The 19,465-nt window shown below is 38.7% G+C and overlaps 1 protein-coding gene across 12 annotated transcripts in view; it reads left to right on the forward strand.

Moving 5' to 3' along the window:
- TTC17 (tetratricopeptide repeat domain 17) overlaps positions 1-19,465 on the forward strand; it is a 136,012-nt gene that overhangs the window by 5,599 nt on the left and 110,948 nt on the right. For 10 of the 12 annotated variants that reach the window (NR_164823.1, NR_164824.1, NM_001376525.1 and 7 more), the window contains exon 2: positions 14,715-14,804. The exons of 1 other annotated variant lie outside the window; for it this stretch is intronic. Coding sequence is in view for 9 of the 11 variants with exons in the window: in NM_001376525.1 (NP_001363454.1) it covers positions 14,715-14,804 (90 nt within the window). In the remaining 2 variants the exon portion in view is untranslated. Of the gene's footprint in view, positions 1-9,057; positions 9,152-14,714; positions 14,805-19,465 lie in introns of those variants that run through there. One more of the 12 variants, XM_006718263.2, reaches the window with a different exon arrangement.

A 19,465-nucleotide genomic window follows, 5' to 3' on the forward strand; every position in this document is an offset into this window, starting at 1 on the left:
TGTTTATACACTTCCAGGATTTAGTTACACCTGGAGAGGTCATGGTGGTTATTCACTAATTTGCTAGGCATCTGCCAAACCTTTGCAGTTTGTCCAAGACCTTTGCTTCAAAATGATTCTCATTCAGTCCATTTTTTCAGATATTGTCCACTATTATTTTTCTTCTTATAAATTACTGAGATTCTGACTTTGTTTATGCTGTAGGGCAGTGAGAGGAGCTTGGAAATGTACAGAAATAAATTAGAACTTTAAATAATTTTCCCACTTTTTCAATTTTTTAAATTTTTATTTATTTATTTATTTTGAGACAGAGTTTCGCTCTTGTTGCCCAGGCTGGAGTACAGTGGCGTGATCTCGGCTCACCTCAACCTCCACCTCCTGGATTCAAGCGGTTTTCCTGCCTCAGCCTCCTGAGTAGCTGGGATTATAGGCATGTACCACCACGCCCGGCTAATTTTGTATTTTTAGTAGAGACAGGGTTTCTCCTGGTCAGGCTGGTCTCAAACTCCTGACCTCAGGTGATCTGCCTGCCTCGGCCTCCCAAAGTGCTGGGATTACAGGCGTGAACCCACCACGCCCGGCCATAATGTTTTTTATTTTTTAAAGACAGGTCACTCTGTCACCCAGGCTAGAGTGCAGTGGCACCGTCATAGCTCACCGTGACCTTGAACTCCTAGGCTCAAGTGATCTTCCCACCACAACCTCCCTAGTACCTGGAACTACAAGTGCATACCACCACACCTGGTTAGTTTTTTTTTATTTTTTGTAGAGATAGGGTTGTACCATGTTGCTCAGGCTGGAATTCAGTGGCATGATTATGGCTCATTGTAAACTTGAACTCTTGGGCTCAAGTGATCCTCCCGCCTCAGCCTCCCATGTAGCTGGGACTACAGGCAAGTGCCACCACACCCAGCTAATTTTTGTATTTTTTGTAGAGACGGGGTTTTGCCATGTCACCCAGGCTGATCTTGATCTCCTGAGCTGAAGCAATCACCTGCCTTGGCCTCCCAAAGTGCTGGGATTACAGGCATGAGCCGCCATGCCTGGCCAGCTCATCTCCTTCTTAACTTTGTTGTTTTTGTTTTTGTTTCTTTGCCCTTGCTCTTTTTCATACTCACCCTTTAGATAAGTAGTTCTCAAACTTTACCTTGTACAAAAATAATTGGGGAATTGGGAGTTGCTTGCTTAAAATGCAGATTTCCAAGACACCCAGAGTATCTGATTCAGTAGGTTGGTGGTAAAGCGAAGGATTCTACATTTTTATCAAACTCCTTGGGAGAGTATAATGCAGGTAGACCACACATAGTCTAAGAAATTCAGTTTTAGATATTGCCATCCTTCCAGCTTCTGTTCCAGTTTTTTTAAACTCTGTACATACACCTGAGCATCAGTTACCATATGTATGCTGAGAGTATCTGCATTCCTTTTGTAACTTAGTTTTTTTCTCCAGAGTTGTAGATTTAAGACCTTTTTTTTTTTTTGAGATGGAGTCTTGCTCTGTCGCCAGGCTGTAGTGCAGTGGCGCAATCTCGGCTCACTACAACCTCCGCCTCCCAGGTTCAAGCAATTTTTCTGCCTCAGCCTCCCGAGTAGCTGGGACTAGTTCACGTCAGAAATCTAGTTGTCTTTAATTCCTTAGTCTCCCTTAGCCATCACCAAGATCTTTGTTTTACTAATTATATTTTACTTCTTCCCATAGCTACTATCATTACTCTAATTCAGGCCACCTTATTATTGCCGCAGCTTCCTGTTCTTCTCCTTTGTTTTATTTAATTAAAAATTTTGAAACCATCCTGGGCAACATGGTAAAACCCCATCTCTACTAAAATACCAAAAAATTAGCCGGGCATGGTGGTGCGCACCTGTAATCAAAGCTACTCGGGAGGCTGAGGTGGGAGAATCGCTTGAGCCCGGGAGGTGGAGGTTGTAGTGACCCAAGATAGTGCCACTGTACTCCAGCTTGCGTGACAGAGTGAGACTCTGCCTCAAAAAAAAAAAAAAAATTGAATTCAGAAATAATGCATGGCATTGTAAAAATAAACATCCACCATGCCAGCATGGGAATATTTAATAAAGTGAAATCCCTCCACCTCTATGCACTCTCACTCCCCAGGGAAAGCTACCTTTAATAGTTTGGTGCATATCCCAGGATATGGTCCAAACTCTTTCTATTGACAAGGTTTTGGTGGCAGGGAGGGAGACAGATTCTCGAACATATCTTATGTGACCTGGCCCTTCCTCTCTAGCCTTATCTCGGGTCATCCTTGAGTACCCCACCCTAACCCTAGAGTAACACACACAGCCATACTGACTTAGCTTTTGTGAGCATCCCCAAATATGCCGTGTTCTCACTTCTTCTGGGCCTTTGCATATGTTGTTCTTCCCCCAACACTCGAGTCTAGCTGAGTCATACTCGTCATAATATAAACATCATTTTCTCAGTGAAGCTTCTGGTATGCCCAAATTTGAATAAGCTGTTCTATGTGCTTCCATAGCATCCTGAATTCCTTTATGAAAGGATCTACCATACTGTGTTGGGCCTACCTACTTAGGTAAATGCCACACTAGACATTTCTCAATGAATCCTTATAGTATTCAGTAATATTTTAGTCATCTGGGGACTAAGCCTAAAAGAAGCCTCAGACTTCCATGTCTTTAAAGCTTTGAGTCACGCATTATTGAATCAGCCCGTAGGCCCTCAGAAAAGGTGCACAGTAGATGAGAAGAGCCATAATTTCAGAGATCATTCCTGCTTACCTACTGTAGTCATGTTGTGTTATGCAAGGGAAATCATCCTCGCTGTCTTTGTACCAGTTTAGATATCTAAAAGGTCAACTTTAATGCGCAGGCATCAAAAAGCAAAAAGTATGGGGCAACAAGAGACAATGAAAAAGATAAGCAGAAGAAAATAATCAGAAAAAACAGAGGCGTGGTAGATGAGAAATGGCAGCTGCACTGTTGAGGAGGGATTAGAACCAGCTGTGGGGTTCAGCAGTTGTTGCAGTTTAGAAGTCACTCTGGTGAAAGTAAACAGAAGGCGCTCTGATAGTGAAGAATAAATAAGAGGGCTCACGAGCTGCTCACGTCAAAAATTAGAACAACTTTGCATTCCAAAATGTTAAGGAGCAGGGTGTAAGCTAAAACCTGCGTCTCAGCTGTACTCCTTGATAGCAGAAGTGAAAACAAGGGGAATGTCTGTGTGTGTGTGTGTGTGTGTGTGTGTGTGTGTCTCTTTTACAGACAGACACCCTAAAAGAGTTATCTGTGCTCGTGGAGTCTCCTCTCTCTTCCTTTTTTAAGCCCCCTCCAATTCATCCTTCATCCCTATAACTCTTGTCAAGATACCCAGAGCCTATGCTCAGTTCTCACTAATCTTAAGTTCTTAGCAGCCCAGCATTTGTCTTCATATCTTACTCAGCTATTTTCTTACATGCTTACCTAAAAGAGTGGCTGACACATAGTATACACTGAGGAAACACTGAGTAAGGGAGAGAGAATGTGTGCAACTAAGCAACTTTTTACACCTGTAATAGCTCTTACATGCATTAGCATACAGAAGAGCCAACACGTATTCCTGGTTTTTCTTCTCAGTCCCTGGCCCTGACTTCTCATTTTCTTCTGCTGAATTCACCTTTTCTTGATGAGTCTTAGGTGTTGGTGTGCCCCTTTTCTTCCCTCTGTACATATGTTCACCAGATGATCTTTTGCAGTCTCGGGGCATAAAGTACCATTTATATTCTAAAGACTCTCAAATCTTACGTGCAGTTTCAACTTCTTCCTGAACTTCAGACTCATATATCCAACTGCCTACTGAACATCACCATTTAGTTGTCATCACAAATACATCATGTCCTAAACTAAACTCTTGATTTTCTACCCCACCACACCTGATCTTCCCCCATTCACAAAATTGCCCAGGTCCAAAATTTTGGTATCTTCTTGACTCTTTCTCATATCTCAAACCCAACGTAGTAATAACTTGTCAGCCCTACTTCCAGAATGTTTCCTGAATCCAGCCATGTCTTTCCACCTCCATTTCTGTAATTCCAGTCAATACTGTCTTCATCTCTTTGCAGAACCTATGCAGTGGCTTCCTACCTGGTCTCCTTGCTTCTACTTTTGTCCCCTAGATCTGTTATCTCCAGAGCAGCCAAAGTAATCTCTTAAAAAGCACAGCTGGTCATGTCACTCCCTTTGGGATAGGAGGGAAACAAAGAACATCAGAAAATCTTCAGTAGTTTCCCATCATACTTAGATTAAAATCTGGAGTTTTCCTTATGGCCTACAAGGTCCTGTAAGATCTAGAACCTGGCACCTGTCTTCTCCTCCAGCCTCAGACACCACTTTCTTTCTTGTGTGGTGTGGTGTGCTCTGCCTCAGCCATACCAGCCCTCGGGATGTTCTTCAAACCACCAAGCTTGATTCTGCCTTTGGACCTTTGTCCTTGCTTCTTCCTCTGCAGATGGCATCACGGCTCAGCCTCTCTCTCCTTTCAGGTCTCTTTTCACATGTCATCTCTTGTTCTAACTAGTTTTATCTAAAACAGCGTCTATTTGAGCCTTGACTATTGTGTCTTGATCCAGCTTTTCACTTACCTTCCTTTTAGAGTTGCAAATGTTCTACTTTATTAATTATGTTATTTGTATATGCCCTGGTGACATGAATTAGAAAATGTGGACTGGTAGCACTATTATAGGAAGTTACTCATTTGTGGTTCATGTTGAAAATGGTTACTAACTTGCTTGTCAATTAGGAGAATGGTGATTGTTTACAGACATGAATATTCTCATAAAATTGACTGCAACACTATAGATGTTCAAATCTAGATAACAACTGTGCAATACGTGTCCCTTACCTAGATTATTTTATGTAAATTTACAGCTGTAAGGATACATTTGTACATTTCAGGAACTGTGAAAATGAGAAGGTAAAATCCAGTTGAGGGTAAAACTTTAGAAAACAGGGATATAAGGCCATGGAAATTCAGGTGATAGTCAAGGTTTAGCATGATAGTCAAGGTTTAGCATTTTCATTAATTTGAAGTTTGTTTTTTCCTTTGATGACTTGATATCCTGTAAGATTAAAATTTGTTTCTGATTTCTTTTTTTTTTTTTTTGAAACAGAGTCTTGCTCTGTCACCCAGGCTGGAGTACAGTGGTGCAATCTTATTTCACTGCAACCTCTGCCTCCCAGGTTCAAGTGATTCTTCTGCCTCAGCCTCCCGAGTAGCTGGGACTACAGGCACACGCCACCACACCTGGCTAATTGTTGTATTTTTAGTAGAGACAGGGTTTCACTATGTTGGCCAGGCTGGTCTCGAACTCCTGACCTCAGGAGTTCTCCCGCCTTGGCCTCCCAAAGTGCTGGGATTATAGGCTTGAGCCACTGCACCCGGCCTCTGATTTTTCAAAAATACTGTACAAGTACTCTAGCTTCAAAAAGTCATAATTAACAAATATATTTCCAAATCTTGGCAGTTCATTATAATAGTTTTCTCAATCTCATACAATGAAATGTTTCTAGTAAAAGATCTGTTTATATTACACATTTGTTTTGACAGTTATAGCCAGGAGCCCATGCGTATCTCTCTCAAGAGTGGAAGCTGGGCTGCTATTTTTGCGAACCTGTACTTCTCTAAACCTCAAAGAAGATGTAAGCCCATGATGGTTAGACTTGAATCCTGAAGAGATAATTCCATGAGAAGTGGAGCAACAGACTTTCTGCCTGCGTCATTCCATCCCTGTGAAACTCATCTTGCTTGCTACCATAGTAGCCTGGAAGGGATCGCAAACAGAAGGGTCTCTTAGACAATCATTTGATTGTTTGAGCTAGATTTGTGATAAGGGTAAAAATCTGAGGGAAGAAAGGTAAGGAGCAAGAAAATACAAAAGATGTTTCATTTTTGAGATGTTCTACCTTGGTCCTTATCTGTGAGAGGAATTTTTTTTCTCTATAAGTGAATACACGAGGGAAAAATACAAGATTCTTCCTCAGACCTAAGCTTATATTTGTCATTACAGTTTGTTTAAGGAAAAAAAAAAAAAGATAAAACATGTTACGTAGTGTTCTAAAGTTTCAGTGTTAACAAACAAGATGACCTGTGGATAGCACATTAAAAAAAAAGAACACTTTATAAATTTAAATAATACATGTTCACTGTAGAAAAAGTTAGAAAACACAAACAAGAAGAGAATAATCACGTAAAGTCATATCAACTAGAAACCATATTCTTAAAATATGATATATAAACTGTCAGATAGTTAAAGAGAGGGGGCAGGTTTGTTTGTTTGTTTGTTTGTTTGTTTGTTTTAAGATGGAGTCTCTGTTGTCCAGTCTGCAGTGCAGTGGCACGATCATGGCTCGTTGCAGCCTCAAACTCCTCAAGTGGTTCTCCCACCTCAGTCTCTCAAGTAGCTAAAACAGGCATGTGCCACCACACCCAGCTACTTCTAAAAACTGTTTTTGTAGAGATGGGGTTTTGCTATGTTGTTCGGGGAGGGGAGGTGGGGGGGGGGGTCTTGAACTTATCTCAGGTGATCTTTCTTTGTCCTCCCAAAGTGCTAAGATTACAGGTGTGAACCATCACACACAGGTGAGATTTTTTATAAGTACATTGTGAATGGAAAAAACATCTCAGTTTCTCCCACTGTTCTCTTACAACATGTTTCTGACACCACCAAGCAAGCAGTCAGTTCTGCAGCTGCCACAGGCTAGGTGGCTTCCAATTCAGTTCTGACATTGTCTACCTGGCAGTGGCATCAGATCCTACAGGTCAAGAGCTCAGTGCCACAAGACTCCTCCCACCCAATTCAGTCCCAGCCTCTTCTAACCAACCAGCTTCAAGTTGGGGCTCCCATAGCTGCCTCTTTGGGTTCAATTAATTTGCCAGAGTGGCTCACAGAACTCAAGGAAACTTACTTATGTTTACTGGTTTATTATATTAGAAAAGACACAGATGAAGAGATGCACAGGGTGACGTATGGGGCAAAGGGTGTAGAACTTCCATGCCCTCTCCAGGAACTTCCACATGTTTGGCTCTCCGGAATCTCCTGAACCCAGTCCTTTTGGGGTTTTATGGAGGCTTTATTACATGGGCATGATTGGCCTTTGGTGGTCAACTTAACCTTCAGCCCCTCTTCTCTCACCAGAGGTTAAGGGGTGGGGCTGAAAGTCCTAATCATGCCTTAGTCTTTCCAGGGACCTGCCCTGATCCTGAAACTACCTAGGAGCTGCCAGCCATCAGTCAACTCACTACTGTACAAAAAGACAGCACTTTGGAGATTCTAAGGATTTTAGGAGTTGTATGCCAAGAAAAGGTGGGTGGGGTGGAAGACCAAATATATATTTTACAATATCACATACACAAAAGAAATACATATGGCCAAGGAAGAGACTGAAATGTATTCATGGCCTGACGCAGCAGCTCACCTGTAGTCCCAGTTACTCCGGAGGCTGAGGTGGGAGGATTGCTTGAGCACAGGAATTCAAGGTTACGGTGAACTATGATCACACCAGTCCACTCTAGCCTTGGTGACAGAGCAAGACCCTATCTCTTTAAACAAAAAAGAAAGAAAAAATGTATATATTCACCCTTTTTTCTGCATTCCTAAGGATGTGTAGGAACTCAGTCACTGTTGTTAGGAATTTAAGTTGATTCAACTGTTCTGGAGAAAAGCTAGCAAAAACTGTAAATTTACAAATGCAAAAAAATAGTATAGTTCCTTTAACCTAACGGTTTTCTTTCTGTTACAGGAAAGAAATAATCTGATAGCTGTCTAAAAAGGTTCATGGGTTTTTTTTTTTGAGAAGGAGCCACTCTTGTCGCCCAGGCTGGAGTGCAGTGGCATGATCTCCTTTCACTGCAACTTCCACTTCCTGGCTTCAAGCTATTCTCCTGCCTCAGCCTCCCGAGTAGCTGGGATTACAGGTACCTACCACCACATCCAGCTAACTTATTTTTATTTTTTATTTATTTATTTATTTATTTATTTATTTATTTTTGAGACAGAGTTTCACTCTTACTGACCAGGCTGGAGTGCCTGGCTCACTGCAACCTCCACCTCCCGGATTCAAGCGATTCTCCTGCCTCAGCCTCCCAAGTAGCTGGGATTATAAGCATGTGCCACTACGCCTGGCTAATTTTTGTAATTTTAATAGAGATGGGGTTTCACCATGTTAGACAGGCTAGTCTTGAACTCCTGACCTTAGGTGATCCACCCGCCTCAGCCTGCCAAAGTGCTGGGATTACAGGTGTGAGCCACTGCGCCCAGCCAAAAGTTTTAGTATAGGATGTTCATTGTAATATTGTTAAAAAGGGAGAATAACCAAAAACCTGAATTTTAGTTAGGAACCTGGGTAAATAATATTAACCACTAAAAATATTGACATAGGTCTGTATTTACTGGGAAGTCTGACAAAATGTACAGAGGAATAGAGAGAGGAAGGAAATAATATAGTAGATATATTATTATCGTATTTTTGTGAAAATATTTACCTACAAAGCTCTGTGTTTGTGTATGTATGTAGAAGTTATCCTGACATGATATATATCTAACAGCAGATATCTCTGAAAGTGAAATTTCAAGTAATTTTTATTTTCTCCTTCATATTGTCTATATGGTACTGTGTTTGTTTTTACAGTAAAATATATTTAGTTTATAATTCTAAAAAAGATTTTCTTAGTATTAAGTAGCTTAAGGATAAAGAGGGCTGATTTTGCCATGAACAACATAACTGCTCAGAAGTAGCCAGCCACTGCTAATTAGAGCCTTGGTTTAATTTGACAAATTGACAGTTTAAAAGAAGCTTTTTTTTTTTTTTTTTGAGACAGAGTCTCGATCTGTCACCCAGGCTGGAGTGCAGTGGCGCAATCTCTGCTCACTGCAAGCTCCACCTCCCAGGTTCACGCCATTCTCCTGCCTCAGCCTCCCCAGTAGCTGGAACTACAGGCTCCCACCACCACGCCCAGCTAATTTTTTGTATTTTTAGTAGAGATGAGGTTTCACCGTGTTAGCCAGGATGGTCTCGATCTCCTGACCTCATGATCCACCCGCCTCAGCTTCCCAAAGTGCTGGGATTACAGGCGTGAACCACCACACGCGGCCCTAAAAGAAGCTTTTAACAACAGCTTTGGAAAATATTCCTGCCCAGAGTGAGTACGAATTTATATGGGCAAATTGAAAGGATGATAATTTCATATATTTGAATATCAGACTATTTTGGGGGTATAGGTCTGGCTAGTAAAAATGTGATACTTTTACGGTAACGTTAAGTCTTTTATAGAAGTAGGATTTGAAAATTAAAAGGAGTTTTAGAAATCATTTGCTTGCGTCCCTTCAGTTTATAGATGAAGAAACAGAAGCCCAGGCAGGGAAGATGATCTGTTTAAAGCCATACAGTTAGTCATAGACTGGTCAGATGCATATTTTGTTTCTGATCTCTGGTACCTTAGCCACTTCACGTTTTTTTTCCAAATAGTCATCAGTGAATGATAATGCTTTAGCAGATGGAGTTGGAGTATCTAATAAATGTGGCAGAGTATCTAACAGATACTGTCCTCAAACAATCAACAGTATATTAAATGCCTAGCATATACCTGAAAGCAAGTTACATACTGAAGGTAGAAAAAGAAATACATAAAAAAATTTTTGTGGGAAAGCACTCCCTATTCAATAAATGGTGCTGGGATGACTGGCTAGCCATATGCAGAAGTATGAAACTATATCCCTACCTTTTACCATATACAGAAATTAACTCAAGATGGATTAAAGACTTAAATGTAAGAAATAAAACTACAAAAATCCTAGCAGAAAACCCAGGAAATATCATTCTGGACATAGGCCTGGGCAAAGAATTTATGACTAAGACCCCAAAAGCAATTGCAACAAACCAGAAATGGACAAGTGGGACCTAATTAAACTAAAAAGCTTCTGCACAGCAAAAGAAACTATCAACAGAGTAAACCTATAGAATGGGAGAAACTATTCTCAAACTATGCATCCAACAAAGATCTGATATCCAGAATCTATAAGGAACTTAATTCAACAAGCAAAAAACAACTCCATTAAAAAATGGGCAAACGACACAAACAGGCACTTCTCAAAAGAAGACATACATGCAGCCAACAAATATGAAAAAATGCTCAACATCACTAATCACTAGAGAAGTGCAAATCAAAACCACAATAAGATACTACCTCGCACCAGTCAGAATGACTATTATTAAAAAGACCAAAAAAAAAAAAAAAAGGATGTTGGCAGGGCTATAGAGAAAATGGAAGTCTTATACACAGTTGATGGAAATGTAAATTAGTTCAGCCCCTGTGGAGATTTCTCAAAGAACTTAGAACAGAACTACCATTTGATCCAGCAGTTCCTGTACTGATTATATACCCAAAGAAAAATAAGAGCCACAGTAGTAATAAGATGCCCTAGGCAGAGGGACATAGGTGAAAATTAGGTGGAAGTTTAGAAATAACACATCAATACTTTCTGTATTATAAAGTTTTCATTGGAATGTTTGGGCAAATTGTAAGGGCTGCAGATACAGTTTGATTCAGGACTCAAATAGTATAACAAGGATCAGTTTTTCTGTTTTTGTTTCTTTGCTTCGTCATCCCCATTCTCAGGCCCCATGTAGATACAAGATGGCTAGTTACCAATAGCTCAAAGTTCTGGATTAGAGTCTCTTTAGTACCAGCTGACCTTACTGGAGTAGTATCTCAGAAATAATCACCATGACCAAGGGAAAGAAATTCTCTGACAACGGCTTCCCATATGGGGAAGGAAGCAAGTGAGGTGCTTTTGCCACAGGGGGGACTTATGGATATTGGATAGCAAACACTACAAATACTCACTAAACAGAACCATTTCAGGTTTTACATAGAGGCAAAATCTTGGCGACTTTGAAGATTTTGATTTATGTTTTCCTTCATATTGTCTTAATATTTAAATAACTATAATTCTGAATTAAAATATTAAAATTATTTTGTCCCTAGTTTCTAACTTAAGGGGAAAAATTTTAAATGAGAATGGCATAATTTAAGATTATATTCATCAGTTTCCAAGTGCTATTTGGAGAAGAGTGAGTTTCCCATATTGCTTTCGTGTACCTAGATGAATACCATTTAAAAAAAAAAACAGTGAAAGTGTTCAGTATATATGAAGAATAAGTTGCACATGAGAGCTTGAATTAATGTTACAACAGAAATGTTCAGTTTTCTGCCATAAAGAATAATTAAAAAGTGATTGACTCAAACTTGTTTTTGTAGGACATCAAAAATGTTTATACTCTTAGATTGGTTAAGTTTAAAATGTTCACCCTTAATCTGATTTGGCAGTGAAATAATTACCCTCATATAGTGAGTGATATTTCCATGTTACCATGTGAACTTACTGAATTTGTTGAGATAGGGTTCCAGATTGGAGGTGTAGATATTAACAATATCTTGGTTAATTAAAGCAACAAATAACATGAACATAATTTGATAGGAGTAAAATATTTACTCATGTTATATATAATTGGATACATGTACAGGTTGAGTATCCCTAATCTGAAAATGCAGAATCCAAAATGCTGCAGTGAACTCAAAAAGTATCGGATTTTGGAGCATTTCAGATTTCGGATTTTCAGATTAGGAATATTCAACTTGTACTTACATAATGTATTCAAAGGAAAATGAAATTGAATTGCCTTATATGGCTTGTCATTTTCTTTATTATAATAAACTGCTACAGTAACAGTGAAATTTTGTTTACTTGGAACTCTTAGAGAATGAATCATTCTGAATAATAGAATTCCATAGAGCCTAATTTCCAGATACTTGATCAGGTTTTCCCTGTAGTTTAAATTTTTCTCTAAAATACTTTTCATAATTTCTTCACCTCCTTAAAGTAAGTGAAAATGATTATAATTTTTCTTTACAATTCAGGTTATTATTTGCATCATTTATTGTTCTGTGCAGCAATGGAAGTTTGTAGGGTTGTTTATCCTTTGTGAAAAAGCCATAAAGTGCTTTGAGATCTTGTGTGTTCATTATGTCCTTTTTAACCTACCTCTCTGTAATTCCTGTCTCCTTTTTGCTTCTGGACTTACAGCAGCCTCTTTTCAATGCTAAAGACTTTGAAGGCATATTAACATTCTTTTACACGTTGTATATGACACAGGAGTACATAGACTCTAAACATTGACTCAGGACATCGACTCATAGTGGGCCTGGCTTATAGAAGCTTAATAAACACTTATTGGTTGAATGGATGTTGTAACATGTTCATGCATTGCTTAAAAATGGGGGTGTGTTCTGAGAAATGTATCAGATGATTTCAGCCTTGTGCAAACATCATAGAGTATACTTAAACACACCTAGACTGTACAGCCTACTACACACCTAGGCTACACACTTGTACAGCATGTTATGGTTCTGTAGGCAGTTGTAACACAATGGTAAGTATTTGTGTATCTAAACATAGAAAAGGCACAGTAAAAATACAGTATTAGGTTGGGCGTGGTGGCTCATGCCTGTAATCCCAGCACTTTGGGGGCCGAGGCGGGCGAATCACGAGGTCAGGAGTTCGAGACCAGGCTGGCCAACATGGTGAAACTCCATCTCTACTAAAAATACAAAAACTTAGCTGGGCGTAGTGGCGGACGCCTGTAATCCCAGCTACTCGGGAGGCTAAGGCAGGAGAATCGCTTGAACCAGGGAGGCAGAGGTTGCAGTGAGTCGAGATCACACCACTGCACTCCAGCCCAGGAGACAGAGTAAGATTCCGTCTAAAAAAAAAAATATAGTATTATAATCTCATGGGAGCACCATCACATATGCAGTCTGCCATTGACTGAAATGTTATTTGGCATATAACTGTATTTACAAAGTTGTCAAACATACTCTGATAATCTAAGGAGGAGAAGTATTTGAGAAGTGAGAAATTCACATTAACATTTCCCAAAGACAAGTCATACATCTTAAAATTTAAGAACTTGAAAGTACCTCAGAAAACATGTATGTCAGGCTGTAAGTCTTCTGCAGTCAACTTTTATCTGGCAAAGATCTTTGCCATTTGCTGTCACCTCAAAAAGAGAAACACAGCTGTCAGTGAACTCCCTTCCTTCTGCTAATAATTTTATCTTTATGCCTCCTCTGTATCTTTGCTGAACTAAAAGCTTCAAGGAAATGATAAGTACTTCCTCACAATTGAATGTTGACCAGATCCATGCTATGGAAATATTATTAAACTTTGTTATCTAGTAACTTTTTAATCTAAAGCTAAGATTATGCTTTAAATAGTTCTTTCAATCTTCATTTATCTCATTTTTTCTTTCTTGCAATTCTTCAAATATCAGGTAAACAGACTGGTTAGGCATTTTGTTTTTTGGTTTTGTTTTGTTTTGTTTTTTGTTTTTTTGAGACAGAGTCTCGCTCTGTTGTCCAGGCTGAAGTGCGTTGGCGCAATCTCAGGTCACTGTAGCCTCTACCTCCCGGGTTCAAGCAATTCTCCTACCTCAGCCTCCCGAGTAGCTGGGACTACAGTCCTGCGCCACCATGCCAGCTAATTTTTATATTTTTAATAGAGATGAGGTTTCACCATGTTGGGCAGGCTGGTCTCAAACTTTCAACCTCAGGTGATCCACCTGCCTCGGCCTCCCAAAGTGCTGGGCTTACAGGCATAAGCCACCGCGCCCAGCCTTGGTTAGGCATTTTGGAATGGGACTGTCACACTTCCACAGTTTCTTCCCTCCCCCAATTTTATTTTTTCTAAAAATCTCATTTAAAAATACCTGTAGAGTCATGTACTAAATAGCTATCTCTTGATGTCTGGACGGAGTTGTAAATTAAGCACTTTCTCCTGCTTCCTTATGTAAAGCTCTTATACTCTGGTCACTGGCAGTAGCTTTAACATTTTTTCCTGTATCCCATTCCATTGGACAGTGGGTCTCTCTGTCACTTTATTGATTTACTTAGGTTGTTTCTGATTGTCCTTTTGCAGCTACAAATGTTGTAATGAGCATCCTTATGTATATCCTTGCCTACTTATTGAACAATGTCTGTAGGATAGTTTCCTAGACTTTCTTTTGCTCAAAGGTTATGCAATTGTAACATTTTGATATATGTTGTCAAATGACACTCCAAACAATGAGAACACATTTATAAGCCAGCTACCAGTATATGAGTGTTCATTTTTTCTACAGCTTCAACATAATTGTTTGATTTGTTGATCCAGAGAACATGAGCAATAAGTAATAAATCTCAAGGTTATTTTATATTATCTTTGATTTATGACTTCTACAAATAGCTTTCAAAAAGAGGTACATTTAATATTTTCCTTTTATCACTTCCAAGCCTATTCAGATATGAAATGTGCTATCAAAACAAGACAATTCATTTTTTATTATTACAGGCATGAAACATCATTTAAGGAAGTTACTTTATCAATCATTGCCAAATACTTCTTTACTATTATATCACCTGTAAAGTCAGAATATGTACTTTGAATGCTTGTTCTTCCAAGTTGGAGTTCACAGGACAACTGTTGCACTTGTCATTCCCTTTGCTAACATTTACATGTGATCACTTTGAAATACTCCTTGAGTTTTGCTGAGGAATAACGCTGATTACAATGGCGAATGAACAATAATTTAAAGCATATTAATGACTTTGTTAATCCAAACCAGCATTAATGAAATCCGAGCTTTATTTATTTATTGCTTGCTTGCAGGTGGATTCACCAATGAACTTGAAGCATCCTCATGACCTAGTCATATTAATGAGACAAGAAGCAACAGTTAACTACCTCAAAGAATTAGAGGTGAGGCAACTGGGCATGTGAGATGCAGCTGATGCTTGTTGCATTTCACAGGAGCCATTGTGTTCAAAGAAAAGCTAAAGCATATTATTTTTTAAGTCTGAGTCTTCTGACTTTTGCGGGAATATACTACCTGCAATGTGTGTGTGTGTGTGTGTGTGTTTTTTCTTTATCATTTTATCAAAGTGATATTTGAGTAGTAGTAAGAAAAACAGACTACTCTAGCCTGGGTATATGCGTGATTCTTAAAACTCATTTATCTTTGAACAGAATTTCTGTGTTTTTAAGTTTTTTCCATCAAATATGAAAATGATATAATCTCTGAAGATATTCCTAGAATAATCTGGATAAAATATGAAAAGAAAGAAAGGTTTTAATAGCCTAAAAATGTAATTATTGTTTATTCTCAGGTAGTAAAAACTAATGTCTTCCTATTATGTTTTCTTATGGTTGACGTGAAAAACATTAATCACCTTGTTCCTTGAAAGCTCGAATCTTATTAGTGCTAATAAAATCTGACTTTTTTTAATAAACATCAGTTTTCCTTTTCTCTAACATATTTCCATAAATTGATTTTGCTTAATAGCAAACAGTATTTGTTATTTGAAAAACTAGGTTTTTTTTTTCTCATGAAATCTCTGCTTTAAAGTTACAGTGTAAATTGAATCTAAATTGTAAATAAACTGTAAGTTGTAGAAACATTAAATCAAATTGCAAAATGAGAAAAAAACTAATGGGAATAATAAAAGTAATAAAAGTAGAATCAGAGTATTTGAGAATTAGAAGGAATCATAAGATCATCCTCATTTTAGAGGCAAGGAAACAATTAGACCTAAAGACAATGAATTGCCTGACTTCACAAAGCAAGATATGGCAGAACCAGAAACAAAAGCTGTATCTCTTGACTTAAAAGCTGGCATACCTGTTTTTTGTTTTGTTTTGTTTTGTTTTTTGAGTCGAAGTCTCACTCTTGTCGGCCAGGCTGCAGTGCAGTGGCATGATCTTGGCTTGCTGCAACCTCCACCTCCCCGGTTCAAGCCATTCTCCTGCCTCAGCCTCCTGAGTAGCTGGGATTACAGGCACCTGCCATCATGCCCAGCTAATTTTTGTGCTTTTAGTAGAGACGGCTTTTGCCATGTTGGCCAGGCTGGTCTCAAACTCCTGACCTCAGGTGATCTGCCCACCTCGGCCTCCCAAAGTGCTGGGATTACAGGCATGAGTCACCGTGCCCGGCCAAAAGCTGGCATACCTGTTAAGCCAAGTTGGCATGTATTTTCTTGTTATGTAAAAGTCCCGAATTTCATTTACATACATTTAGTATATTTATCAACATACATATGTCTACAAATAGTTATAAATATGTACTTTTAAAAAAATCTGTGAATTAAGAGAGAGAAGACTTTAGCACATGGTAACCAGCTCTGCCTAATTAGTAGTATATTTAGAGTGTTTCTAGAACTTGAATACCTCAACATTGTAAAAATAGTTTCTCACCTTGTTCCTACTGGTTTTATCACTTGTAAATTTGGAAATGTTGATTTTTATCAATACTAGGAATTAGACAATAGGTATCCTTATAGTGCTTCATGCTTGGAAGCATGATCTATTTTTATTTAAACCCGGTGTTCAGAAAGATGCAATGGTGCAGAAAAAAATTTTTTTTTCAGGTATATAGACACATTGTATATGTTTATTGCTATCTTTTTAGGGAGGCAGTATTATATAAAGAGAAAGAGATTTAAATTGGAGGATATATAGGAAGAAAGTGCCATTTATTAAGTCAGTGAAAATGAAATGAAAAATATTGACTCCACCAATTTTTGGTTAAGGTAGTGTAGGAGTTTATACTTATACTAAATATAAACTTCTATTTTTGTTTATACTTATACTATGAAGCTTCTGCTTCATATGCATAGCAGTGCCAGGTAAAATATAAAAATATAAACCAAAATAAAATGTAGGCAGGCTTGAAAGTAGTATAAGCATCTCCATAAACCAGAAATGAGGAGAAGCACTAAATTGGGAATGTGGCCAAAGCTACCGACCTTTTGGGCTCCAAGGCCAGGAGCAGACTATAGTAGTGTCTGATATGCAGCACTGTGGAGTTAAGGGAGCTGACAGTATTCCATGCAAGATGTAGGAACAGAACGAGGCTTACTGCTTGAAGACTAGGATGGAGCCATTCTGCTCCTAGAAAGAGCCTGGCAAAAATAATAATAATAACAACAACAAAAGAAAACATATCAAAACCAGAAAGACTAACCCTGATAACCAAAAAAAGGAACTGAATCATCCAATAGTTCAATAATTACATCTTCAGTTTCCTGAATATCATTTTAGGATAGAATATTTGGGATAGGAACTCGAAACCAAAATTGGAAGGTCTGATTCTGAGCTTGGTAACTGGATAGAACCTGGAAACAACCACAAAACTATGAGACCTAGATGATGGTCATGGAATGATTGGAAAGAAGGGGATGAGACAGAGGGCATGAAGAAATACTTCAGGGTTTCTGACCTGAGTGATTGCAAGGCTGAGGTTGATATTAGCTGAGATAAAGAAGACTGAAGGAGGTACAGGATTGGGGAGGAGTTTGGCTTTGAAATGTTAACGTTTGAAATGCCTATCAGGCATTCAAGAATGGATGTCACGTGGGCAGTTGGTCCTTCTAGTGCAAACTCAAGGGGAAAGATGCAGGCTCAAGATAGAAATTTGTTAGTCATTGACAGATAGACATAAAGCCATGAGACTAGATAAAACAGTTTATCTACCAAGTAGTGACAACTATATGAACATCTTAGATAACAGAAGACAGTGAAGGGTAAGGGAAAATCAATTCTACTGAAATTTTATATTCTTTTAAACTATCATTTAAGAATGAGGGCAAAGTAAAGATAATTTCTGACATACAAAAGCAGTACTAACCACAGACCCTCACTTCAGCTGAAAGAAACATATTAAGTATGTATTTCTGCAAGAAGAAAAGTAAACCTAGTGGAAGTTCATAGAATGTCTAATGATAAGTTAAAAACATTGATGAAAAAGTTGCTAAATTTATTTACTTATTGGGCTCTCTAAGGTCAAACTAGATAAAATTAATAATATGTAGTTGGGTTGGAGTATGTTCAGTAATTAAAGCATGTTAGACTGTTTTGTCATGTTCAAAAGATAAAAATAACTGAATAAATTAAAATCCTATGGGAAAATTTATTGGCAAATATATTAAAAACTTAAGGATGTTGCTTGCTACTTTTTAAGTAGTCTTGCCAAAAAATAATCAAACCACAATATAATTTGTTATTCAATGTAATTTGTTTCCTTTGTCTTTCTCTTACATTTTATATATTTAAAAGATTATTCTGAGAAGAGATTTATAGGCTTCATCAGACTGCCAAAGAAGTCCATGACACAAAAAGATTATTACTCTAGATCCTGCTGTCAATATTCAGGAAATACAGAAAATAGAGGAACATGTTCAGTGAACCTTGAGTACCTAGTCAGCAAATTCCCCTAGAGTGGCAAACTCTACAGAACAAACAATCCAATTTCCTTTTTCTTTTTTCTTTTTATTTTCTTTTTTTTCTTTTTCTTTTTTTTGAGACAGGGTCTTGCTCTGTCACCTAGGCTGGAGTGCAGTGGCATGAACACGGCTCACTTCAGCTTCAACTTCCTGGGCTCATGCTATCTTCCTGCCTCAGCCTCTTGTGTAGCTGGGACCACAGGCGTGCACAATGCCCAGCTATTTTTTTTATTTTTTGTAGAGACAGCGTCTCACTTTGTTGCCTAGGCTGGTTTCAAACTCCTGGGCTCAAGCAGTCCTCCCACCTTGGGCTCCCAAAGGGCTGGGATTATAGGCATGAGCCACCATGTCTGGCCCCAGTTTCTTTAACAAATAAATTACAAGGGAGTGGGGGAGAGAGAGAGAGAGTGGTATCCAGTAGATTAAAAGAGATGTAAGAGACAAATCAACCAATTGCAGTGTGTATGGACTATGTTGAACTCTGATTCAAACCAACTATGTATTTTTTTATTTTTTTATTATTTTTTTGAGATGAAGTCTTGCTCTTGTCCCCCAGGCTGGGGTGCGATGGCGCAATCTCAGCTCACTGCAGCCTCCGCCTCCTGGGGTTCAAGCGATTCTCCTGCCTCAGCCTCCCGAGTGGCTAGGATTACAGGCATGTGCCACCACGCCTGGCTAATTTTTTTTTTTTTTTTGTATTTTTAGTAGAGACAGGGTTTCACCATGTTGACCAGGCTGGCCTTAAACTCCTGACCTCAGGTGGATCCGCCCACCTTGGCCTCCCACAGTGCTGGCTGGGATTACAGGCGGGAGCCACCGTGCCCGGCCACAAACTCTATTTTTAAAAGAGAAGAAACAATTGGGAATTTGAATGCAGACTGAATATTTGATATTAAGGAATTACTATTTTTTACATGTGATAGTGGTGTGGTGGTTTTATTTTTTACAAAAGAGGCTTTTCTTTTCAAAACATACTGAAATATTTACTGACGAAAACCAAAAACAAAAAAAAATAGGGGCAAGCACTAAAATAATAGACATGCAGGCCAGGTGTGGTGGCCCACACCTGTAATCCTAGTACTTTGGGAGGCTAAGGCAGGAGGATTGCTTGAGACCAGGAGTTTAAGACCCTGTCTCTACAAA

This window comes from Homo sapiens, chromosome 11 (assembly GCF_000001405.40).
Source record: "Homo sapiens chromosome 11, GRCh38.p14 Primary Assembly".
NCBI classification, from domain to species: Eukaryota; Metazoa; Chordata; class Mammalia; order Primates; family Hominidae; genus Homo; species Homo sapiens.